Below are 26,383 nucleotides of genomic sequence, written 5' to 3'. Positions count from 1 at the left end.
CTCTGCCATGCTCATGGTGGCCCCAATTGCCCCGAAATTAGTTTCTTCATATAGCACATAATGGCATATTAACCTCTACCCTCAAACACACCAAGATCCTTGCTACTTATAGAAAAGTCAATAGAGAAAGTACCAGAGTGGATCAGAAATGGGTTACATACTGTTAGACAGAATAGCCCTGCCAGGAGGGACATTCATTACTCACCCACTGAAGATTTTAACAGGCAGATAAAGGGCAAATCTGTCAGACTAACAAGGCCTGGAACTGAGCATATGCTCAAGGATGACAGAGTAGAAACTAAAGATCTTCAACATCCTTTTAAAAACAAACTTAAAAAAAATCTACTAAAAAATGATAGTCTTCATGTTATATAACATTTTTTTTCTTTTCTTTTTTTTGGGGGGGAGGGTGGGGACAGGGTCTCATTCTGTCACCCAGGCTGGAGTGCAACAGAATAACCAGGGCTCGCTGCAGCCTTGAACTCCCAGGCTCAAGTGATCATCCTACTTCAGTCTCTGGAGTAGTTGGGTCTGCTGGCATGCATCACCATGCCCAGCTAATTTTTTAATTTTTTTGTAGAGGTAGGATCTTGCTATGTTTCCAGGGCTGGTCTCGAACTCCTGGGCTCAAGCAATCCTCCCGCCTCTGCCTCCCAAAATTCTGGGATTACAGCATGCCCAACCAACAATTATCTAATAGTAGTCCACAGGGCTTCAGAGAGTCTGCAAAATGTGTGTGTTTTTAAGGTAGGACAATTAAAAAAAAAAAGATGCACACTCAAACATGTTCCAAGCCATATGTTAAGACAATGAAGCCCGCCACCACACATAATTTTGTATTGCTAGGATAGCTCAGTATTATGTTGACCTCAAAACGGAGCTTGTCCTCCCATCTCTGATTAATCAAAGTAACTACACAGCATGCTGTTCAGGAAAAGTCACCCTGACAATGGCCATGTGCATCACGCTTGTCTCACTGTTGTATAACCAAATAGAGAAAAACAAATGAGCCACTGAAGTGCTCCAAGTCAGCAACTGTCTGTCACTCATAATTCTGACAGCATATTAGAATCATGGGAATATGCCCACCATTCACATGTCCGACCTCACAAGTAAAGATTATCCATTTTGAACTTTCAAAACTATTGCTGTTACCTGTTACACATTTTGGGGTTCTATGAAACAGTCCATTAGGAAAAGGGGTTCTGATATTCAAAAATGTTTGAAAACCACTGAACCAAGGTTTAATAAAGGTCTTAAATATCAGGTACCCTTGAATCCCAGAGGTTACTATGAAGGCTATTCAAAAAGACAAGACTCTCCCTCAGCCTAAAGTGTGGGTATGTATGTGTGTATGTACATGCGCATGTCCACTGGTGGTGCTGGGGAAGGGTTGGTCAGCCAGGCTAGATGGTACTATTATGTTTCAAAAACAAATTTTTCTTGTTTCACTTCTCAACTGTAAATGTAAATCCCCGTAGCTAAGGCCGCATAGGGAAAGAGCACTTGACTGGGTGCCCTGGGTTCAAATCATAATCTGATGACTTATTTAATGGTTCTACAACAATGAAAGAAATCATATCTTCGTAATTTTGTTTTCCCAAATAAGTGACTTGAGATCGCCTTGTTAGAGGTGAGATGGTATTTCTGAAAACACTCCAGAAACTTTAAATCACTACTCAGCTGTACCCAGTTACCTTAGCTCCATAGAGTTGCTTTAGTTCTATTAACAAAAAGAGCACGACTGTGGTACATCCATAGCATGGAATACTACCGGACAATAAGAATAAATGACTACTGAAACACACAACAACATGGATGAATCTCAAGGATATTATACAGAGTAAAAAAGGCCTCTCTCAAAAAGATACATACCACGTGATTCCATTAACCAAGAATCATAAATTACATAATTATAGACAGTTGAAACAGTTTAGTGTTTCCAGGGTTAGGGATAAGTATGGCTACAAAGTATGGGTACCAGGAGGGAATCTCATGGTCTTAGTATACCTCAGTACCTTGATTGCGGGAGTGATTACACAAGGCTGTACTTGTAATGAAAGCACACAGAGCTATATGCACACACAAATGAGTATGTGTATATCACTGATAAAATCTGAATAAGCTCTAGTGATTATGCCAATGTCAAATGGTTTTGTAGTTTTGATATCCTACTGTGGGTTTATGGGCTTTTGCCATGGGAGGAAGACCAGCAGAGGAATTCATGGGACTCTCCTGTACACCTCTTTACAATCTCCTGTGAATCTATAATTATTTCAAAATAAAAGTGTTTTCTAAAAGCCCTGGGAAAATAAAAGGCAAAAAAGCAAATACATCTACTCATCTCTAGTTGTTCTGAAAGTTTAAAGAGCTACGGAAAAGTCCCAATGTTTCAAGAAATAAAAGGAAAGGGGATTGTTGAGTATAAAGACAACAAATTCAAAGATGAGAGGAAAAAATGTAACTGTATATTAAGTCAAGATCCAAAAGTGAATTTCAAAAATCCATGCCATGCAGATCACAAGGTCAAGAGTTCAAGACCAGCCTAGCCAATATGGTGAAACACCGTCTCTACTAAAAATACAAAAATTAGCCGGGCATGGTGGCAGGCGCCTATAGTCCCAGCTACTCAGGGGGCTGAGGCAGGAGAATCGCTTGAACCCGGGAGGCAGAGGTTGCAGTGAGCCGAGATTGCGCCATTGCACTCCAGCCTGGGTGACAGAGGGAGACTCCGTCTCAAAAAAAAAAAAAAAAAAAAATTACCATAACAAAAATATTTTGCCAGGCGCGGTGGCTCACGCCTGTAATCCCAATACTTTGGGAGGCCAAGGCAGGTGGATCACCTGAGGTCGGGAGTTCCAGACAAGCCTGACCAACATGGAGAAACCGCTTCTCTACTGAAAATACAAAAATTAGCCGGGCGTGGTAGCACATGCCTGTAATCCCAGCTACTCGGGCAGTGGAGGCAGGCGAATCGCTTGAACCTGGGAGGCAGAGGGTGGTGGTGAGCCGAAATCGCGCCATTGCACTCCAGCCTGGGAAACAAGTGCAAAACTCCGTCTCAAAAAGAAAAAAAAAACCAAACCCATGCCATGCCAACCTACAGTACTGAAAGGGCAAGGAAATAATATTCTATCACAGAAAGCAAGCCAAAGGGGCTGGGCCTGTTTCTCATAATCTCAATAGGCTATACAGATTCTTATTGGACAATGGGCAGCCACCCCCTTTACTGGGAACAATCCCTGAACCCCCATTAACGCTATAATATAACACAGGTGGGCCCCAGGCAGTCTTTTTGCCCCTGTCGATAATCTGTAAGCTCTACTACCACCAGATCAGACAACTAGACCAGGGGAGAGCATTTGATCCATAACAAACCTCTTTCCCCTCTGGCCACAGGTGACTGTTCCAAAAACTAATATCTGATCTAAATTTGGCTGGAATTACTTACTCAGAAATTTAGAACTGGGACTAAGATTCTGACCTTGGTCTACCTAGCCTCTTGAACACAAAAATGTAAAATTGGGGCGAGGCCAAAGGTGGCCATTTTGCATTTTCCAAGAAAATAAGCAAGGAATAAAATAAAAAAGAACCAAAAGGACTCCAGAGAAGCAGGAAACAAGGCAGACCAAGGCCCTCAAGATGGAATTCCAGGTTCTGAGCCTGAAAGCAGCCCTGCCTCTGAGCCCTAGGACCCAGTCTATTTTCCCAACAATATTTGTACTTGCCCCTAAAAAAAAATCCTAACCAATATAACCATGACTTTTAAAAACTCAGCTTCCCAAGCCAGTTGGGCAGCTGTCAAGACACCCAGGGAACTTGTGACACCCTTAGGAGCCAGCCAGCCAGCGCCACCTCTCCCAGAACTGCAATTTACAGACAAGGGACAGGGCAGGCAGGTGCTGGCCAGGCATGGTTTCCCCAAGCAGGTAAGGAGGTCCCACCCACCACAGGCACATCTCAGAGATGAAGATGACAGACTCAAATGTCAGGAAAATAAAGAAAAAGAAACATAGAAGTTATAAAGCCAGCCTGCATGACTTTGGATCTTAAAGAAAATTTACCTCAAAGAGAAGATAAGAGTCCATGGGAAGATTAAACTGCCACTCCAAAGATTTCAGTCCCTGCTGTTCAACTCCTCACTTTGTGACCACAGGCAAGGCCCTTCCCATTTGCGGGTCCCAGCTGCCTCAAGCAGAGCATGAGAGGTTTAGACTCAGTGATCCCTAAAGTCCTCTCTTACTCCATCAATGGACTATGTATGGCAGCCTGGAACTCTGAGGAAGCCAAACGAAAAAGAGAAGCTCAGTCTGCTGCCGTTCGTGCTGTGTTTCTGGGGCTCTGCTATGACTTGCCATTGTTGCTGGCCTCAAAATTCCCTCCAAGGACCAGTTTGTGCTTCTCTAGACCTGTTTCCTGGAAGCTCTGCCTACCTGAATCATGAAGTCATTTTCCTCCTGGACCTCACAGATGCAGCGGACCACCTCGAAGTCATAGCGGTCATCCCCATCAAGTTCCTCATCTGGGTTGGTGGTCACATCCACATCTTGGCCATACTCATCATCACTCCAGAGAAAGCTCTCAGAAGAGGACTCACTCAAATTATCCTCCTCTACGAGGAAAGGGAAAACAACAGTTACTATTTTAGGTTATAAAATTAAAAAACCTTTGATTGTCAAGAATGAAAAATGACATTATAGTCCCATACCTCCAAACAAGAACATTCATAGGGCAAGGAAACGAGGATGCCAATCTGTCCTTGGATCTGTCATTTAGTAACAGCCCAAACGAAGCATGCTGCCTGGCAGTGAACTCAACTCCACTTCCTCATTTCACTGAGAGAATGAAGCCCAACGGCAGTGGCTACTCAAGATCATAGAACTCAGTGGCAGAGGAGCTACAACTCCCCATGAACCACACAGGCCACCATCCCTGACAACTCTAACATGTTCTTCAGCCTCACTCCATCCAGTCAGGACCTGGCTTACAGTCTGTCTGTATCCAGAGCTACCTTTAAAACTCTGTAAACAAAGGCTGAGCATGGTGGTTCATGCCTCTAATACCAGCATTTTGGGAGGCCGAAGGAGGAGGATTGCTTGCACTCAAGAGTTCAAGTCAAGCCTGGGCAACATGGCAAAACCCCATCTCCACTAAAAGAAAAAAAAAATTAGCTGGGCACGGTGATGCACGTCTACAGTCCCAGCTACTGAGGAGGCTGAGGCAGGAGGATCCCTTGAGCCTGCGAGTTTGAGGCTGCAGTGAGCTATGATCACACCACTGCACTCCATCCTGGGTGACAGCGTGAGACTTTGTCTCAAAAGACAAACAGGCTGGGCACAGTGGCTCACGCCTGTAATCCCAGCACTTTAGGAGGCCAAGGTGGGCCGATCACTTGAGCCTAGGATTTGAGACCAGCCTGGCCAACGTGGTGAAACCCTGTCTCTACTAAAAATACAAAAAAATTAGCTAGGTGTGGTGGTGTGCGCCTGTAATCCCAGCTATGGGGAGGCTGAGGCAGGAGAATCACTTGAACCCAGGAGGCAGAGGTTGCAGTGAGCCAAGATCACGCCACTGCACTCCAGCCTGGGTGACAGAGTGAGACTCCGTCTCAAAAACAAAAATCAAAAACAAAAACTCTATAGACAGTGAGGAATGAGGAAGAGGAAGATTCCAGGGATAATCAGAGGCAGAATCACTTGATGCCTGATTAGTTATAATCACAGCTAACTTTTACTAAGCGCTTGTTCTGAAGCAGATACTGTTCTAAGTCAGGCATAACTATTAATATTTTATTGCACTTCACAGATATTGTATATTATTTTACAAATTGAAGGTGTGTGGCAGCAACCCTGAAAGTCTACTGACACCATTATTGCAAAAGCAAATACTTTGTGTCTGTCAGCATTTTTAAGCAATAAAATATTGTTTTACTTTTTATTATTTTTATTTTATTTACTTATTTTTGAGACAGGGTCTCATTCTTTCTCCCAGAGTGCAGTGGCATGATCACAGCTCACTGCAGCCTTGACCTCCTGGGCTGAGGTGTTCCTCCCACCTGAGCCTCCTAAGTAGCTGAGATTACAGGTGCATGCCACAACAACCGGCTAACTTTTTTTGTATTTTTTGTAGAGGCAAGGTTTGCCATGTTGCCCAGGCTGGTCTTGAACTTCTGGGGTCAAGCAATCCACCCGCCTCAGCCTCCCAGAGTGTTGGGATTACAGGTGTGGGACATTGCACCCAGCTTTCATTTTTTAAATTGTCAGTTAACATAATGAAATGTATTGCTAGTTCAAATTTTTGAACATTACATCAAAACAAGATTGATCTAATGAACACATATGTCACATTTTTCAGGACATATGGAATAACTAAACTAATTTTATTTCAAAGAAAGTTTTAAGAAATGTAACAGTCCAGGCACGGTGGCTCATGCCTGTAATCCCAGCACTTTGGGAGGTCGAAGTGGGTGGATCACAAGGTCAGGAGTTCAAGACCAGCCTGACCAACATGGTGAAACCCTGTGTATACTAAAAATACAAAAATTAGCCAGGCGTGGTGGCGTACACCTGTAATCCCAGCAACTTGGGAGGTTGAGACAGGAGAATTGCTTGAATCCAGGAGGCAGAGGTTGCAGTGAGCCAAGATCGCGCCACTGCACTCCAGCCTGGGCAACAGAGTGAGACTCTGTCTCAAAAACAAAAACAAAGCAAAACAAAACAAAACAAAACAAAATATATATATATATTTTAAAATATAAATTATATATATAAACCCTTTCTCAAGAGGGCTCAAAGATATGTTTTAAGAGTCGTGTGTGTGAACAAATACCATCATTCACCTGCACATCCACTTACACTTCAATGCCTTCATATGTACCATCCTGTAGCAGGACACACTGGCCAATGCAGCAAGTGAGAAGGCTTTTCAATGCCAGCAGGACTTTGTAACACCTGGGTGAGTGGGTGCCTCCCTTCCAGGGCCCATATTAGGTTGAGCACATATATATATGTGTGTAAGTGTGTGTATATCTATATATATATATATAAAACATTTTACCTTTTTTTTTACATATATACATATATATATGTATATGTATATATATAACATATTTTACTGTTTTTTTTTTTTTTTTGAGACGGAGTCTGGCTTTGTCACCCAGGCTGGAGTGAAGTGGCATGATCTTGGCTCGCTGCAACCTCTGCCTCCCAGATTCAAACGATTCTCCTGCCTCAACCTCCCGAGTAGCTGGGATTACAAGGCAGACACCACCACGCCTGGCTAAGTTTTTGTATTTTTGCAGAGATGGGTTTCACCATGTTGGCCAGGCTGGTCTCAAACTTCTGGGCTCAAGTGACCCACCTGCCTCACCTCACAAAGTGTAGGGATTACAAGTGTGAGCCACCGCGCCTGGCCACCAATTTTTACATTGAATAATTTTTCTATTGAGTTGAGTTCTTATATATTCCAGCTACTAATCTCTTGTTGATGAATAGTTTACAAATATTTTCTTTCATTCAGTAGGTTTTCGGTTCATTCTATTAATCGTTTAGTTTGCTGTGCATAAGCTTTTCAGCTTGATGCAATCCCACTTGTCCATTTCTTTATTTATTGTCTATGCTTTTGAGGACTTACTCCAAAAAACTTGACATTTCTCAACACAACAATATTTTCCAATTAAGGTATATGCATTGTTTTAGACATATGCTACTGAACACTTAAGAGACTACAATATAGTATAAACATAAGTTTTGTAAACACTGGGAAAATAAAAATTATGTCTGACTAGCTTTATTTGTTTTATTGTAGTGGCCTAGAACCAAACCCATAATATCTCCCAGGTATGCTTGTATTTTCCAATAAATGATCAGCAAATGATCAGGACAGAAGAGCCTCCTTACCCAATGCTTTCACTTTCCCTTTGTGGTGTCCAGATTCTGGGCCATGAAGCTGCGGGCTCATATGGACCCCTGGCTTGTGTGAGGACCCACACCTGGTAACAGCAAATGCCTTGGGTGGAGAAGGTTCCTGGGAGGTGTCACTGATCTCCTCACTGCAGGGGCATTCTGGAAGAACAGGATCAGGAAGGAATGAATAACCCTAGTTAACACTGGTGCATTCTAGAATCAATCTCATCCAACCAACAAGCCTCCTTTTCAAGCAGCACAAAGGCTCAGGGACAATTCAACCAAAAAGAGGTGTGGAGAGCAGATGAAGGGGCCCAAACACCTCCTCTTAAGTATTGACCCTCTCCTCTTTTTCTGATAAGATTGTTTTTCTAAGCTAGAAGATACACCAAGAATAAAACGTGGCATCCTTTAAGTCCCAAGTCAGAATATATAGATTTTTCTAAACATTTTTGTGAGGGCTAGACACAGTTTTTAAGAAGGGAATCCTTTCTCAAGAGGGCTCAAAGATGTGTTTTAAGAGTCGTGTGTGTGAACAAATACCATCATTCACCTGCACATCTGCTTACACTTCGATGCCTTCATCTGTACCATCCTGCAGCAGGGCACACTGGCCAAGGCAGCAAGTGAGAAGGCTTTTCAATGCCAGCAGGACTTTGTAACACCTGGGTGAGTGGATGCCTCCCCTTCCAGGGCCCATACTAGGTTGAGCCCACAAGCCCTGGTAAGAGACTATTGGTCCTTCCTCTGCTCAGCGCAGGCCCAGAGGCCATAATGGGAGAAAGCAACCCCTCCCCATTCATAGTAAGGAAACCTAAGTGAAACCCTCAGGAAAAAAAATTACCAGGTTTGGTTTTCTTTTTCTTTTTCTTTTTCTTCTTTGGCTTCACTCTCACAAACTCCTTGAATTTCTTCTCTTTATTCTTTTCCTTGTCTTTTGTAGCTAGAATTAAACACAAATGTTGGCATTTTAACATTTTGTTTTCAATGCTGGGGTGCTTATTCTTCTCCTAAGCAAGCATGTCCGATGGGTCTGGCTCTGCCTGGGAAGTCTGGAGCAGATTGCTCCAGTCTGGAGGCAGAGCCACGCCTCCATCACTTAGCCTTTCAGTCCAGCTCAGCACACTCTGGCCCATGGCCCGTCATTGTAAATGGATTTTAGTGAAACATGCCATGTTCATTGGTTACGTGTCTTTCACACTTCAACAGCAGAGCTGAAAAGTGAGGACAGAGACCTTTCAACCCCAAGGTTGAAAAGTATTTATTATCTGGCCCTTTACAGACAAGTTTGCAAAACTCTACTTAGATCACTGCTCCTCAACCCTGGCTACATACTGGAATCACCTGGGGATCTGATTTTTGTTGTTTTCATCGCCATGTCACCCAGGCTGGAGTGCAGTGGCGCGATCTCAGCTCACTGCAACCTCCGCCTCCCGGGTTCAAGCGATTCTCCTGCCTCAGCCTCCAGAGTAGCTGGGACTACAGACACACGCCACCACACCTGGCTAAATTTTGTATTTTTAGTAGAGATGGGGTTTCACTATTTCGGCCAGGCTGGTCTTGAACTCCTGACCTCAGGTGATCCAGCCGCCTCAGCTTCCCAAAGTGCTGGGATTATAGGTGTGAGCCACCGCATCCAGCCAGGATTCTGTTGCTTGTTTCATTCTTTTTCTAAAAATTGAGGTACCATTCATATAACATAAAATTATTTTTAAATGAACAGTTCATGCCTTCTAAATACCAAAACTTTATCCTCTCTACTCTACAACAAAACTCCTTAAGATGTCAATCCTCCCTGTCCAAACTTCTCCCTTCACAGTTTTTCCTAATTACATTCTAAAAAGCTTCCCACCTACCACTCTACTGAGATCAGTTTTCAAAATTAATAGCTTCACCATTGAAAAATCCAGTCATTGCTGGGTGCGGTGGCTCACGCCTGTAATCCCAGCACTTTGGGAGGCCCAGGCGGGCAGATCACAAGGTCAGGAGTTCAAGACCAGCCTGACCAACATGGTGAAACCCCGTCTCTCTAAAAATACAAAAATTAGCTGGGTCTGGTGGTGTGTGCCTGTAATCCCAGCTACTCAGGAGGCTGAGGCAGGAGAATCGCTTGAACACGGGAGGCGGAGGCTGCAGTGAGCCGAGATCATGTCATTGCACTCCAGCCTGGCGACAGAGCGAGACTCCATCTCAAAGAAAAAAAAAAAAAAGAAAGAAAGAAAAATTCAGTCGTAGCCGGGCACGGTGGCTCATGCCTGTAATCCCAGCACTTTGGGAGGCCAAGGCAGGTGAATCACCTGAGGTCAGGAGCTTGAGATCAGCCTGGCCCACATGGCAAAACCCCGTCTCTACTAAAAATATAAAAATTAGTCAGGCGTGGTGGCAGATGCCTGTAATCCCAGCTACTTGGGAGGCTGAGGCAGAAGAATTGCTCGAATCGGGGAGGCGGAGGTTGCAGTGAGCCCAGATCGCACCATTGCACTCCAGCCTGGGTGACAGAGTGGGAATCTGTCTCCAAAACAAACAAACAAAAAAATCCAGTCGTTTCTTCTTCTCTTACCAAATATATTTATAGGATTTCAAGTAATTCACCATGCCTTACTTTTTAGATATCAACAAGAGTTTATACGTACATATATCCTATGACCTTGCCATCCACTACAACATATTCATTCAAGAGAAAGCATCACTTACGTCCACATAGAGACTTATACATGAAGACTCATAGCAGTTTTAGTTGTAATCGCCCCAAACTGAAAACTGCCCAAATGTCCATCAAGTGAATGTACAAATAATTCATGATGTATCCACACAATGGAAGACTTTTCAGCAATAAAGGTAGGAACAGCAGGCCGGGCGCAGTGGCTCATGCCGGTAATCCCAGCACTTTGGGAGGCCAAGGCGGGCGGATCACGAGGTCAGGAGATTGAGACCATCCTGGCTAACATGGTAAAACCCTGTCTCTACTAAAAATACAGAAAAAATTAGCCGGGCGTGGTAGCGGGCGCCTGTAGTCCCAGCTACTGGGGAGGCTGAGGCAGGAGAATGGCGTGAACCCAGGAGGCGGAGCTTGCAGTGAGCTGAGGTCTGGCCACTGCACTCCAGCCTGGGCGACAGTGCAAGACTCCGTCTCAAAAAATAAAAATAGAAAAAAAGGTACGAACAGCAACATAAGTGAATCTCAAAGTATGCTGGGTGAAAGGAGCCAGACAAAACAAGTGCGCACTGCAGGATTCCATTTCTACAATAGTCTGCAAAATGAAAACAAACCATCTGGGCATGCTGGCTCACTCCCAGCACTTTGGGAGGCCAAGGTAGGCAGATCAGCTGGGGTCAGGAGTTCAAGACCAGCATGACCAATACGATAAAACCCCATCTGTACTAAAAATACAAAAATTAGCTGGGTGTGGTGGCTCATGCCTGTAATCCCAGCTACTTGGGAGGCTGAGGCAGGAGAATCGCTTGAGCCCAGGAGGCAGAGGTTGTAGTGAGTTGAGATCGTGCCACTTCACTCCAGCCTGGGCAACACAGCGACTCCATCTCGGGGGGGAAGAAAAAAGAGAGAAAACACACCACAAGTAACAGTAAGCAGAATAGTGGTTGCCTGGAGCTCAGGGGGAGGGGAGAGGTGGGAAGGAGGAACTAAAAAGGGGCATGAGGAAAGTTTGGGAGGGAATGGAATATGTTTACTATCTTGATTGTGGTGATAGTTGGGTATAAACATATGTCAAATCTCACCAATTATACCATTTAAATATGTGTAGTTCATTGTACAATTAAGTCTCGATACAGCTGTAAAGAAAAACAACCAATTCAGTTGCATTTAGTACATTCACAATGTTGTACGACCACTTTGATATAGTTCTAAGAACATTTCCATCACTCCAAAGTAAAACCCTTTACCATTAAGCAGCATTTCCCCTCCCCTAAGCCCTTCCCCTCAGCCCCACCAACCTGCATCTGACTCCATGGGCTTATCTACTCTGGATATCTCATAAATATGGAACCATACAATATGTGACCTTTTGTGTCTGGTTTCTTTCATTTAGCATGATGTTTTCAAGGATATCAGGATTTTTAAAACTTTCCAAGTGATTCTGATATGGAATCAAGATATCCACAAAGCAGGTGTGAGGCAGGGTAGACAATCAGATTCCATTTTAACTAAGCACTTGTGTGCAAGGAAACCACAAATATCTCATTTAATCCTTACAACAACTTGTGTGTATATCATTCCCATTTTACAGGCCGGGAAACTGAAGCTCAGAGAGGTGAAATCACCCACCTGACATCACATAGGTATTTAAAAGCAAATTGGTCTGACTCTCCAGCACCATGTCTCCTCTGCAACCCAGGCCCCTCTCCCAAATTAGCACTTGGTAACCATCAGAAAGGAAGAGTGGGCTGTGCCTACTGGCTGGCAAGCCTGGAATCTATAGGCAGAGTTGATCTACTGGCTAGAGAACATAGGACTTAAGGGTATTTGAGCTCCTTAACTTTTAAAATACCCTGCAACTAGAAAGAAAGTCAACAAACATGAAAGCTGGAGAGAACTTAGACCAATTTGTAAAAGCACTCATTTTTAAAACCAAAAACCCAAGGCCCAAAGACAGCAGACTGGCAAAACATGGTCAGATGCCTTCTGAATTTCAAAAAAGCTATCAGTCATTTTTACTTTTCATTGATCCTGAGAACAGGGTCTTCCCCAAACATAAAAACAAAACTCATTTTTACACAGTTTGACTACCACCGTATTATTAGCCATGGTTTCAATTCATTTAGGCAACAGATACCATGCATATACTATGTTCCAGGCACATTCTAGGGAGGAGGGATATTGCAATGAACAAAGACAGATAACACCCCCTGTCCCTCACAGAGCTACATTCTATTCAGTTGGTGCAAAAGAATTGCTGTTTTTGCCACTGAAAGTCACAGCAAAAACCACAATTACTTTTGCACCAACCTAAAAAGCTGATGGGGCAGCAAACTATGAATAGGAGGGAATTTCCTCAACTGGATAAAGAACTTCTTTGCAGCCAACTTCATACTTAATGGTAAGAAATTGGATGCTTTCCCCTTAAGATCAGGAACAAAGCAAGGTGCCTCTCTCTCTACTCCTATTCAACATTTTACTGGAAATCTTAGCGAGTGGAATAAGCCAGAAAAGGAAATAAAAGCTCTACAGATTGAAATGGAAGAAATAACACTATCTTTGTTTGCAGATGATCTGTCTATGTAGAATATCCCAAAGAATTGATCAAAACAAAGACTGCCAGAACAGCACTTACAGCAAGGTTACAAGACACAAAGTTAATATACAACAATCTATTGCTTTTCTATATGCCAGCAATGAATAACTGGAATTTGAAATAAAGAAATAGCAAGGAGATCTGTATGGCTCCAATGGAACTGAAATTAGAATTAGGTTGAGTAAGGGAAAGAAGCAGATGGAGGCTAGCAGCAGAACATGATGAAGGGCCCTGTGAGGAAGTTGGCTTTTACTATGAGTGATTTAGGGAGCCACTGGAAGGATCTCAGCAAAGGAGGGATATTATCTGTTGTACCTTCACCCACACTCCTCCACAACACACACACAGACTGCTCCCTGATCCAGTTTTTATTTGTAAATTCAGGTTTTAGTGACCTCCAACTAAAGTAATTATACCCATCAGCTTAGTGAAATGCTAACAGAATTTATCTTGTCAGCAGCAGAACTGCCTGAAGCAGCAACATAATCTAGGTCCTAAATCCTTGAGACAGAGAGGGCAAGATGTAGAGGAAAACTGCCCAATGCTAGGGCATACCTGGTTATCTGGCTAAAGATAGTGGTCATTTGTAAACTCCAGTGGCAGAACTTGCAGGCCCTAGAAAAGACACAGAGAATTGCCCAGCAAGGACTGAGCTAAGGCAGGTGAGTCCCTGAGGAACAGGAGTAGACAAGGTGACAACAGGCAGAAATCCCCAGACTGCCAGGTGCACAGGAAGTCTCCTGCAGGGAGGCACTCCTATCTCCCACTCCAGGGCCTGGGACAGGCACTCTTCCCTGGAATCATAAAAGACAGCAGAGCCTCAAAGTGAGAGTATGGGCTTCACAACAGATTCAAATCATGGCTCCACCACCTGCTAGAGCTGTAAATATTGGTTCAAATTAATCCATCTCATCTGCACCTTAGTTTCTAATCTATAAATTAGGCATTATAGATGCCTAATATGCCAACATTAGAGCATCCAAATTCTTAAAACAAGTACTTCCAGACCTAAAGAAAGACTTAGTCACATAATTTTAGTGGGGGACTTCAACACCCCTCTGACACAGCATTAGAAAGATCATCGAGGCAAAAAACAAAGAAATACTGGACTTAAATCCAGCAATGACAAACTATACATTCCACCCATCTGCAAATGGCAAATAATCTAAAATTGACCACATGCTTGGCCATAAACCAAGTATCAGTGAATTCAAATCATTGAAATCATATCAACCACACTCTGAGACCACAGTGGAATAACTGCATAAATTAGGCATAACAGCACCCACCTCAGAGGGTTTGTTCTGATAACTAAATAAGACAATACAAGTAACGAACTTGGAACAGCGCCCAGCACATGAAGTACTCAAATGTCAGCTGTTATTATCTTGCTTGCAATATTCTTTCCCTGGAAAGCAGTGCTGGTCGCTGGTCTGCTGTCAACTCTCTCTCTGGACAGCTTTACCAATTGTTCCATGACCCACAGAGCATGTACTGGCTGTGGAGCTTCCTCCCGGCTGCCCTGACTAGGTTGGACAAAGAGTGACTTCCTGCCAGGCTCTGGATCAGAGAGCAGCTTGTCACCTAAGCAGGGTGAGGCTTTCCTCCAGGATGGCCACTTGTCCTCTCCCCAAGCTGCAGGTGTCCATCAGGAGAAATACCAGAGGCCCTCTTGCTCCTCCATACAGCTGACTCTTGAGTATTCCATCCAGTCACTGATTTATGAGAGCAGAGGGACAACTGTCATCAGACCGCCGCTTCCAGGAGGGAAAAGAATAGCATCACCACCACCTATGGGGTAACTGCTTGTACACCACAGAGCTCAGCCACGAGGCTGGGACAAGCACTGACCAGAGCATGTTCTGATCTGCACAAGGGGGTGGTAGCTCAAGGGCAGACAGAAGCAGATATGGGCTTGGAGGGGTTCTCTCTGCCTATCAGAGAAGTGGTAGTCAGGGTCTGCCACTGTCATTTCACCATGTCTACCTTCCCAATCTCATCTCCTATCAGTCCCCTACCATGAGTCCCACCCAGATACCAACCCAGGATGGCCCTCCAATAACCCCTCCCTCCTCAAGCCCTGCATTCTTCTTAGCTCATGTGGTAAAGGCTGCAGTGCCCTTCCCAACACTATTTCTCCACTTCTTCCATAGGAAGAGTTCATGTTCCATGTTCCCTTGAGAGAGGGGTGGCAGATGTTCTGCCTATCGGATACAAGAAGTGATGTGTGGCACTTCTGGGTTGTGCCTTAAAAGAAAGGAGCATACTTTCCCTTCACTTCCCTTCCCAGCAGCTGAAAGATAAGCAAGGCAGGGAGCCATTTTGGACACCAAAGAAGAGCAGCACCTGGGGCAACAACGGGGAGAAAGCAAGGCCCAGGAACCTTCAGAGCCTGGTGGAACAACGGGGAGAAAGCAAGGCCCAGGGACCTTCAGATCCTGGTGGAAAAACGGGGAGAAAGCAAGGCCCAGGGACCTTTAGAGCCTGGTGGAACAATGGGGAGAAAGCAAGGCCCGGGGACCTTCAGAGCCTGAGCACAGCCACCATGGGTAACTTGCAGTTCATCCTGAGAGGGAAATAAACTTCTCTGATTTTAGCCAGCTATGTTGTTCTCTCTGTTATGGCACTATAATCCATATTCTAATTAAGCTCACACTGCTCTTTTTGTTTTAAGGGGAGGAGGACATGTTCCTGCGATAAGGCCAGTGTAGTCCCATGAGAAAAGGTGTGGATGGCAATGAAGAGGTGCCCACTCCAGTGCCCCAAGGCTCACTTTGGCCTAAAACTGAGGTTTACCCAGGGTGAGAGCACGACTCAAACAGATGTAGCAATAAGTAATAATAAGCACAGGAGAGGCCCTCTTTGACACTAGAAAATTCTTTCTGAGCCTAACCTGTATTCAGGACTGAACTCACCTAAGTAGAAAGAAACCCAAGGGAGCCTGAGCTGGCTACTGGAAGAGAATTTATTAAGTGACTCTGGTATACTGAGAAACCTCATTTGGAAAAGCAAATCTAAACTGACCTTCTAAATTCATTTTGCAACTAAAGGCTTGGCTGAGAGCAGAAGAACCATATGAGTGACAGGATTACAGAAGGCTGGCATCAGAAGGGGCACCTTAGGGACAGATGATTGGTTTATTCCCCTTGATGCCTCTGAACCCTTGCTATGCCTATTCCTGGCACAGGGATGCTTTTCCTCTTCCCGGCTTCTGGTCCAATTCCTATCTAGCCTCACTCCTTAAGGCGTGGGTTAGTCTGCTCAGGCTGTTATAACAAAACATTATGTTATATGTGGCTTAAACAACAGATATTTCTTTCTCACAGTTCTGGAGGTTGGAAACTACAAGATCAAGGTGCCAGACTATTTGGTTCCCAGTGAGGCCCCTCTTCCCAGTTTGCAGATGGCCATCTTCTTGCTACATCCTCACATGGGGGGATAGGGGGAGCTCTGATCTCTTCCTATAATGCCACTAATCCCATCATGAAGGCCCCAACCTCATGACATCATTTAAACTTAATTATTGCCAAATACCATCACACTGAGGGTTAGGACTTCAACAGATGAATTTTAGGGAGGAAGGCAGGACACAATTCAATTCACAGCAAGGCCTAACTCAAATGTCACCTTCTCCTCTCAACAGTCCAGCTCCTACCCTACAGGCAAAATCTGAATCTGTGTTCCCACAGCACTTTACATGTTCCTAACACAGAACTTAGCTTTCTCACGTTGTTTATGAGCTTTTCTCCCCACATGAAAGGGCCTGGTCTCATGCATACCTAGCTCTACATCATCACTTTAGAAATGAGGAGATCAGCCAGGCACGGTGGCTCATCTCTGTAATCCCAGCACTTTGGGAGGCCAAGGCAGGCAGATCATCTGAGGTCGGGAGTTTGAGACCAGCCTGACCAACACGGAGAAGCCCAGTCTCTACTAAAAATACAAAATTAGCCAGGCATGGTGGTGCACGCCTGTAATCCCAGCTACTCGGGAGGCTGAGGCAGGAGAATCATTTGAATCCGGGAGGCGGAGGTTGTGGTGAGCCAAGATCGCACTATTGCACTCCAGCCTGGGCAACAAGAGTGAAACTTCATCTCAAACAAACAAAAAAAAAGAAAGAGAAAGAAAGAAAAGAAAGGAAGGAAGGAAGGAAGGAAGGAAGGAAGGAAGGAGAAAAGAAATCAGATCTGTGAAGAGACCTGCCTGAGATCACAAAGGGAACAGTGGCAGGTTGCTACTAAGATCAGTCTACGGACTCTCAGACCAGAACTACTACTTCTGCCCAACCTTACCAACCCAGATATTGAGGAGTCCAAAGCCAAGAAATCTCTGCAGGGTACTTTCGAGTCCCAGTGGTTTTGCTGGAAGCCCCAGGAATCTCCATCAGAGAAATCCATGAGAACCCAAGTTCGGGACCACTTGAGGCCAGGAGTTCAAGACCAGCCTGGACAACATGGCAAAACCCCATCTGTACTAAAAATACAAAAATTAGCTGGGTGTGGTGGTGAATGCCTGTAATACCAGCTATTTGGGAGGCTGAGGCAGGAGAATTGCTTGAACCCCGAAGGCAGAGGTTGCAGTGAGCCAAGATCACGCCACTGCACTCCAGGCTGGGCAACAGAGTGAGATTCTGTCTCAAAAAAAAAAAAAAAAAAAAAAAAATCAGAGCATTCAGCATAAAGGGGGTACTTTTTTACAGTTACTATTATCACGCAGCACAAATCCTATAATATTCTGTTTTTCACTTAAGCAGAATGTCAAGTTCACACTGCCTGTAAACTAAAACACAGGCTGCCTGGTATCAGAGTCCCACTGTGAAACGTCTCCCAGTGAAACGTCTCCCCAACTGAACTCCCCACACTGTCTGAAATTCCACCCTGATAAGAGCATTCTCAGAAGCCTGAGGTGAAACCACAATACTATTAAGTTGGTTCTATTCTTTCAAATTTTTGGTTATCAGATTAGTCAAGTATCCAGTAAAACCCTGACAAACTGGGGCAAGGCTTTGATGGGAGAAAGGTAAGGGGTGATGCCTGGAACAGGGGTGCCTTCTGGAGAGCTGCAGCAGAATAAGGCAGCCACACTACAGAATCTTCAGCATACACTACTATGTTCACTCTCATTGATAGCCAGCTACGTGATAAACACTGAACATGTCTACTGAGCCCCATCCACATATGATAATACCGAGGCTCTTGCTGGTTAGTGGCACAGTCAGGGCTGGTGGCCAGGCTTTCAATTTTCCATCTGGATCACAGCAAGATGGATGGTCTAGTTCCTTCGGTCTGGTAACTGCTAAACGTATCAGCAATGAGGCATGGGAGATACATTTGGGTAATCGCCATGTTGTCTAGGAGGCTGTGTCCACTTGACATGTGGATGGGGGTACATTCCTTCCTGGCTGCACAAATCCTGCCCTCACTGAGAGGGTACAGAAATGATCAGACTGTGCCCTCACTGAGAGGGTACAGAAATGATCAAACAGTGGGTGAGTGGTCTGTGTGGCACATTCTGCTGCTAAATTGATCAATTTTACAAAGGACCACTTTAAACAAATTAAAACATAAGGACTTAAAAAACCTTTTGGCAACAAGTTAAAGCATAGGGATTTAAAAGACTCTTGTTTCCCTTAAAGCATTTTATAATTGTCCAACCCTACTAGTCTAGTGAGTATACAGCAGGCCTTATTTTTAAAAACTGGTAAACAAAAATCTCCAATTCACCAAGAAATTTCCAAATCCCATTGAAAAGGATCCTTCAGTATTAACAGAGAGAATAAAATCCCAGGTCAGTATAATGCATGAGACCCAAGAGGGAGACATGAAAGTAGAAAATCAATTACTCAAAAAAAAAAAAAAAAAAGAAAGGATAGGAAAGGAAAGGAAAGGAAACGAAAATCACTCAAAAAAAAAAAAAAAGAAAAAAGAAAAGAAAATCAGTCACTCAGGCTTCTTAATTATACCAAAATGGCAATGTCTTGTCTATTGGTTTTGTAGCTCATCAGTGGTTGGCTGAGTTCAGAACTCAGATCTCTGACTGCCTGGGTAAATGCTTTCACTGAGATAAAGAGACTGTGTATTCAGAGTTTATTATAGGCCAGACATTTTACAAAGCATTTCCCCTTGGGTCATTTAGTGTAACAAAGTTATGAGGTAGGTAGTACTATTATCTCTATTTCACAGATGGGAAAATTGAAGTTTCGCAAGTTCTCTGCCCAAGGTCCTGGAGCAAGCAAGCGGTAGAGCCTGTATTCAAACTCAGGTGAGCTGACACATATTACTCAACATAAACCAAGTCATGCAAGTACAGTTAACCAAGAATCCCAAAGCCAGGTGGTAGATCAGCATCTGGCCAGGAATACCTGCCCCACGCTCAGGTGCATTATACTGAGCAAAGTCCCTCCTCAGACAATTACCATGAACAGGGAGAGGCAGAGGCACTATGTCCTAGCACAGAGAGCACACACCACGATGGTCAGGCAAGCAGGACTTCCATGGGTCCCTCAATGGCCTCCTGCCTGTCAAGCCTTAGCCTTTGGAACAACCTAACTCTGGTGGCTTTGTGCTGTCTGGGGTAGGCTGCACTCTACTTCCAGTGTTGTACCCTCATCCTGCCCAGATGTCAATCCATTACGATATCCAGCACCTGCTATTTCTACTGGCTCCTGACACCTCAATGACCTCCATTTACTCAACATAATCTCCAGTCCTTCAGTGCTGGTTGTTTCTACAGTGCTGCAGAGCCCATGGGATACTGTAGTGACTCAAGATGACTCAACATAATTCCTCCCCAACAGCACTCAGAATCCAGCTAGAGAGCTCACACAAATGTACCCAACTCAGCCACATATGGCTGGATGAGAAGGATGAAATTCTAGAAAGCAAGGGGAAGAAGGAAATCCACTTCCCCACACCAGGCCTTGAAACAGGCTTATTAAAAAGATTAGCTCACAAACTAATCACAAGAACTCAGGTTTACACAGGCTTATTAAAAAGATTAGCTCACAAACTAATCACAAGAACTCAGGTTTACACTCAGAGACAGTGAGGTCTGGAGACCTGAAGAGAGTCCAACAGTGACTGAGGCAACAGATGGGATTCACAACCCATGTGCCCAGCTCCAAAACTTATGCTTTGCAGAAGCATCATTCTGTCCTTACATATTATTTAGCAAGAGAGTGATATAATCAGGTCTGTACTCTTAAAGATCGATCCGATGGCAAAATGATGGATAACCACAGTGAGTAAAGAATGATGGGAGGAAAACTGATTAAGAAATGACCACAACAACCAGGGCAAGAGAAGAAACCTAGATTAGTGCCATGGGACTGAAAAGGAGATTAATTTGGAGGTAAGTCAGATAAAAGGAAACAAACAAACATTAAAATCCTCTCAATTACATTCATTATTTCAAGTAAAAAGCCCAATCCTTTATCTTGGTATCTCTCTGCAGTTTCTTACATTCTTACTGCATTTTTACCATTTCCAAGTATATGTTTTAAGCACACTTTTTTTTTTTTTTTTTTTAGACAGAGTTTTGCTCTGTCATCCAAGCTGGAGTGCAGTGTCACGATCTTGGCTCACTGCAACCTCTGTTTCCTAGGTTCAAGCGATTCTCCTGCCTCAGCCTCCTGAGTGGCTGGGATTACAGGCACCTGCCACCACGCCTGGCTAATTTTTGTATTTTTAATAGAGACGGGGTTTCATCATATTGGCCAGGCTGGTCTCGAACTCCTGACCTCAGGCGATCCACCTCCCAAAGTGCTGGGATTTCAGGTGTGAGCCACTATGTCCGCCTAAGCATGCTTTTTATTGAGGCATAAAACATACACAGAAAAGTACACACAAATAAACACATAAACCAATACTTTTTCATAAATGAACACACCTGTATAACCACCATGCAGATCAGGAAACAGAACATTTCGGAGCCCTAGAAGACTCCCTCCTGCCCAGTTTCCAGTCCTACCCACCTCCTCCCAAAGGTAACTACTGTCCTGACCTCAAATACCATAGATTATTTTTCTTACTCATTTTTGAACTTTATATAAGCAGAACCATACAATCTGCATGAGTTTATGCTAGCTTATTTGGTTGTTGTTTTGAGATGGAGTCTCACTCAGTCGCCCAGGCTGGAGTGCAGTGGCATGATCTCGGTTCACTGCAACCTCTGCCTCCTGGGTTCAAACAATTCTCCTGCCTCAACCTCCAGAGTAGCTCGGATTACAGGCATGCACCACCAAGCCCGGCTAATTTTTTTGTATATTTAGTAGAGACGGGGTTTCACCATGTTAAGTAAGGCTGGTCTCGAACTCCTGACCTCAGGTGATCCTCCTGCCTTGGCCTCCCAAAGCACTGGAATTATAGGCATGAGACACTGTGCCTGGCCTCACATTATATTTTTAATGGATAATACAGCACATACAAAGTCTTGACAGCATAAATGAAGGTTGACCCCTCGGAGGGTCAGAGTTCACCTTAGTCTGCATGGCTCTGCCCCTGTCCTGAAACCTGATTGTATACTCTACTGGGAACACTGCCAGATGTCCTAGGAGTTCCATATACCATTTAAGACCTACACATTTTAATAGAAAACCTCTAAGCCAAGAAGTAGGTAGTGATATTACAATAGCAAGTAAAAAGCTGGGAAGATTATATAATTTATTGGAAATCCATTAATTCTTCTGAAATTCCCCTGGAAACATGTAATTTTTCAATTTCTGTAAGCTTTAGAAGATATTTCCTAAAAGGTTCTCTGTAATAAGTTATAAAATGAGATTTTATGGTAACCCCTATTATGGTTTCTATGCAAAACAAACAGTGCTATTATAAATATCTTCAGTTGCACTTAAGATGAAACAGGATTCACATTTGGACCCAGCAGTAGAATCACATATCACCTTTTGGTTATCGTGCTCTTTTGTGCTGCTGGCAAGGAAAACGCACAGGTTTGGGAGAGTGGGACGATGGCACCCATGCTGCTCTGAGCACGAGTTCTCCTGCTGGCTTCTGAATAAGGTCCCTTTGCTTGACTGTCCCCACTCATACTGGAAGCAGCAAGGCCTTCAGAGGCTAAGCGATTTTTCAAGGTAATTCTCAGTTAGGTGTTCCTGCTTCCTGTAGGAAGGCCACAGCTCCGTGGCACAGCCCAGAGGATCACTTAATATGTTCAGTCCTGTGGGATTCAACTGGAACAGACAAACCTAATGCCTGCTTTGTGTGTCAGAAAACACAAGCACTGTGGCCAAGCAACTGAGCCATCCATGACACAATGAAGAATGAAGATACTTACTTGGGGAACTGGCAGAGACCCGCTTCCTGGTCAGGGTCTCCTGGCTGGGCTTGTCTGAAGCTGAAGGGCCCCTGGTTTGGACATGCCTCTTTCCCGGGCTCTCTTCTGGCTCCAGTGACTTCTCCATTCCATGGAAATACTTCATGTGATAGTGCAACAGTTTGGCTTTGCGGAAAAATTTTAAACAGTCCACAACTTTGCATCTAAACTTATGGTCTAGGTCGACAGCTGGTGCATTAGATGACCCAAAATCATCTGTTTTCTTAAAAGTATTTGTTACTGAAAAAAATAAAAACAAAAGCAAAGGTTCCTTGTATTTATCCCAGTTATTACAAAACATGCATTAACACATGACAACTGAGGGTGAAAGACTAGCGTGCAAATGTAGCCTGAGACATCAGACTGCCATTACCTCCTCAAATTACTGTTTAGAGAGAATGAAAACAACTTCAGGTCAAATAAGACTCAATTGTGATTCATCTTTAGGAAGAAGAAATCAACATGTTTATTTTAAACAGTCGTACAAGTTTTCAGGGTTTCATATACTTTAAGGAAAAATCCTTAAAAAGATAAAAATAAAAATAAAAATAAAGGATCTCAGGTCAAGCAGAGCAGCTCACACTTGTAATCCTAGTACTTTGGGAGGCCAAGGCAGGTGGATCACTCGAGATCAGGAGTTCATGACCAGCCTGACCAACATGGTAAAACCCCATCTTTATTAAAAATACAAAAGAAATGGGCTGGGCATGGTGGTTCACACCTGTAATCCCAGCACTTTGGGAGGCCAAGGGAGGCAGATCGCCTGAGGTCAGGAGTTCGAGACCAGCCTGGCCAATATGGTGAAACCCTGTCTCTACTAAAAATACAAAAATTAGCCAGGCATGATGGCAGGTGCCTGTAATCCCAGCTACTTGGGAGGCTGAGGCAGGAGAATTGCTTGAACCCGGGAGGCGGAGGTTGCAGTAAGTCGAGATCATGCCATTGCACTCCAGCCTGGGAGACAAGAGCAAGACTTTGACTCAAACAAAAAACAAACAAACAAAAAAATTAGCCAGGCATGGTGGAGCACATCTGTAATTCTAGCTATTCGGGAGGCTGAGGCACGATAATTGCTTGAACCCGAAGGCAGAAGTTGCAGTGAGCTGAGATCATGCCACTGTGCTCCACCCTGGTCAACAGAGCCAGACTCTGTCTCAAAAAAAATAAAAAATAAATAAAATAAATAAAATCAAGGATCTCAAGCTAGCACTTATGAGTTGGATCAGACTTACATTTACTACCATCCTGGTACCTATCTGTGTGGACGGAAATAGGGAACATTCCTCAGTATCTCTCTATGAAACCTAAGAGATTTTACGTCAGTTTTTGTGCAAGGAAAGTGTAACAGTTACAAAGGTTTTAGTATTGAGTCTTTGAGATTTCAACACGTACTTTGTTTTACAATATACTTTGTCTGATCAAAAGGATCCAGATTTGGTGGGTGCAGTGGCTCACGCCTGTAATCTCAGCACTTTGGGAGGCCGAGGTGGGCGGATCACCTGAGGTCAGGAGTTCGGACCAGCCTGGACAACATGGTGAAACCCCATCTCTACTAAAAATACAAAAATTAGCTGGGCATGGTGGCACATGCCTGTAATCCCAGCTACTCGGGAGGTTGAGGCAGAAGAATCGCTTGAACCTGGGAGGCGGAGGTTGCAGTGAGCCAAGATCACACCACCGCACTACAGCCTGGGTGACAGAGCAAGACTCTGTCTCAAAAAACAAAACAAAACAAAAAAAAAACACCGGGCGTGGTGGCTCACACCTGTAATCCCAGCACTTTAGGAGGCCGAGGCAGGCAGATCACAAGGTCAGGAGATTGAGACCATCCTGGCTAACATGGTGAAACCCTGTCTCTACTAAAAATACAACAAAATTAGTCGGGCGTGGTGTCGGGCACCTGTAGTCCCAGCTACCCAGAAGGCTGAAACAGGAGAATGGCTTGAACCCAGGAGGCGGAGTTTGCAGTGAGCCGAGATCGCACCTCTGCACTCGAGCCTGGGCGACAGAGCAAGACCCCGTCTCAGAAAAAAAAAAAAAAAAAAAAAAAGGGATCCAGAATAGGAGGAATAAGTTCTAGCATTCTACAGCACTATGGGGGAACTATAATTAATAACAATTTATTGTATATTTTCAAATAGCTAGAAAAGCAGATTTTGAATGTTCTGAACACAAAGAAATAAATGCTCAAGGTGACAGATTTGCCAATTATCCTGATTTAATCATTATACATCGTATACATGTAAGGAAATATCACTGTACCACATGAATATGTAAAATTATTACATGTCAATTAAAAATAATAATAAATGAGGCCAAGGCAAGAGGATCACTTGAGGCCAGGATCCTCAAGACCAGTGTAGACAACTCAGCAAGACCCCATCTCTACAAAAAAAAAAATTTTGTTAATTAGCCAGGCATGATGGCATGTGCCTATAGTCCCAGCTACCCAGAAAGCTCAGGTGGGAGGATCCCTTGAGCCCAGCAGGTTGAGGCTGCAGTGAGCCATGACTGTACCACTGCACTCCAGCCTGGGCAACAAAGTAAGACCCTGTCTCAAAAATGTATGAATAACAATAATAATAAATGCAAAACAAACAACAACAAAAAGGACCCAGAGACTGCAAGAAAAACCAGCTAACTAAATGGAGGTGGAAGGCATAAGGAGGACTCATAGGACTCAATGATCAATTTCAAAGAGACAATAAAAGCATGACCCTAAAAGACAAATAAGCAGAAGGCAATAGTCGGTCAGGCACCAATGACAAAAAGTAAACCCATCACAAGGACTTTTTTTTTTTTTTTTTTTTGAGACGGAGTCTTGCTCTTTGTCCAGGCTGGAGTGCAATGGTGAGATCTCGGCTCACTGCAACCTCCACCTCCCCAGTTCAAGCGATTCTCCAGCCTCAGCCTCCTGAGTAGCTGGGATTACAGATGCCCACCACCACGTCCAGTTTTTTTTTTTTCATAGCTTTAGTAGAGACTGGTCCAGCCTGGTCTCGAACTCCTGACTTCAAGTGATCCGCCTGCCTCAGCCTCCCAGAGTGCTGGAATTACAGGTGTGAGCCACCGCCCCCAGGCCACAAGAACCTCTTGTGTGTTAGAAATGCAGTTTATTGAGGACTCCCTTTAGAATGTCTTCCCACCAACAAAAAATCACATTAAGTCATTCCTATGCTACAGATTTGGTCACCCAAGAATATATTATATTAAATGGATCTTTTTTTAAAAAATTAGGAATTCGGTATGCAATGAATGGCCCTTTCTTGAGTTAATCAGATTTTTCGTAAACACAATCACACAATCTCCACTGGAAGCAGGTAGCCTGTTAAACCTTTGGTAAGTATTATGATTACTTTTTCAAGTGTCATCCCATAATCAGAGGTAATTTTAAAACTCTTAAATTTGATCTAAATTATACTCTACACTTCAAAATTAGGTTTGGTTGTCTGAAGGATGCTGTTATAGAGCCAATTTAAACCAACAAAAACCTATACACACACACACACACACACACACACACACACATCCCAAAGCATAATGCCTTAAAATCACTTTCTACCTATAACAAGAGATATAAAAGATGCCAGATCAATTAGTTGCAGGTAAGAGAAGAAAAAGTTGGCCAGGCGCGATGGCTCACGCCTGTAATCCTAGCACTTTGGGAGACCAAGGCAGGCGGATCATATGACGTCGGGAATTCCAGACCAGCCTGGCTAACATGGTGAAACCCCATTTCCACTAAAAATATAAAAAATTAGCTGGGCGTGGTGGCATGCATCTATAATCCCAGCAACTCCGGAGGCTGAGGCAGGAGAATCACTTGAACCTGGGAGGCGAAGGTTGCAGTAGCTGAGATCGCGCCATTGCATTCTGGCTTGGGCAATAAGAGTGAAA

At 43.9% G+C, this 26,383-nt stretch overlaps 1 protein-coding gene across 11 annotated transcripts in view, besides 1 other annotated feature; it reads right to left on the bottom strand.

Moving 5' to 3' along the window:
• The window catches only part of PHF20 (PHD finger protein 20), a 178,356-nt gene that overhangs the window by 28,275 nt on the left and 123,698 nt on the right, over positions 1-26,383 (bottom strand). For all 11 annotated transcript variants that reach the window (XM_047440180.1, NM_016436.5, XM_017027868.3 and 8 more), the window contains 4 exons: positions 22,448-22,726; positions 8,749-8,847; positions 7,899-8,063; positions 4,434-4,612 (listed from right to left, as the gene is read on the bottom strand). In XM_047440180.1, the coding sequence (XP_047296136.1) occupies positions 4,434-4,612; positions 7,899-8,063; positions 8,749-8,847; positions 22,448-22,726 (722 nt within the window). The remainder of the gene's footprint in view (positions 1-4,433; positions 4,613-7,898; positions 8,064-8,748; positions 8,848-22,447; positions 22,727-26,383) is intronic.
• Positions 14,973-15,473: an enhancer, noted in NCBI's record as "H3K27ac hESC enhancer chr20:34494545-34495045 (GRCh37/hg19 assembly coordinates)". NCBI's record gives its function as "activates a minimal SCP1, AML or CMV promoter by ChIP-STARR-seq in primed H9 embryonic stem cells {active_cell/tissue: H9 hESC(primed)}" and the evidence as "EXISTENCE:reporter gene assay evidence [ECO:0000049][PMID:30033119]".

The sequence above is a fragment of the Homo sapiens genome, chromosome 20 (assembly GCF_000001405.40).
Source record: "Homo sapiens chromosome 20, GRCh38.p14 Primary Assembly".
In the NCBI taxonomy this organism is placed as follows: Eukaryota; Metazoa; Chordata; class Mammalia; order Primates; family Hominidae; genus Homo; species Homo sapiens.
This window is presented reverse-complemented; position numbering and strand designations above follow the sequence as displayed.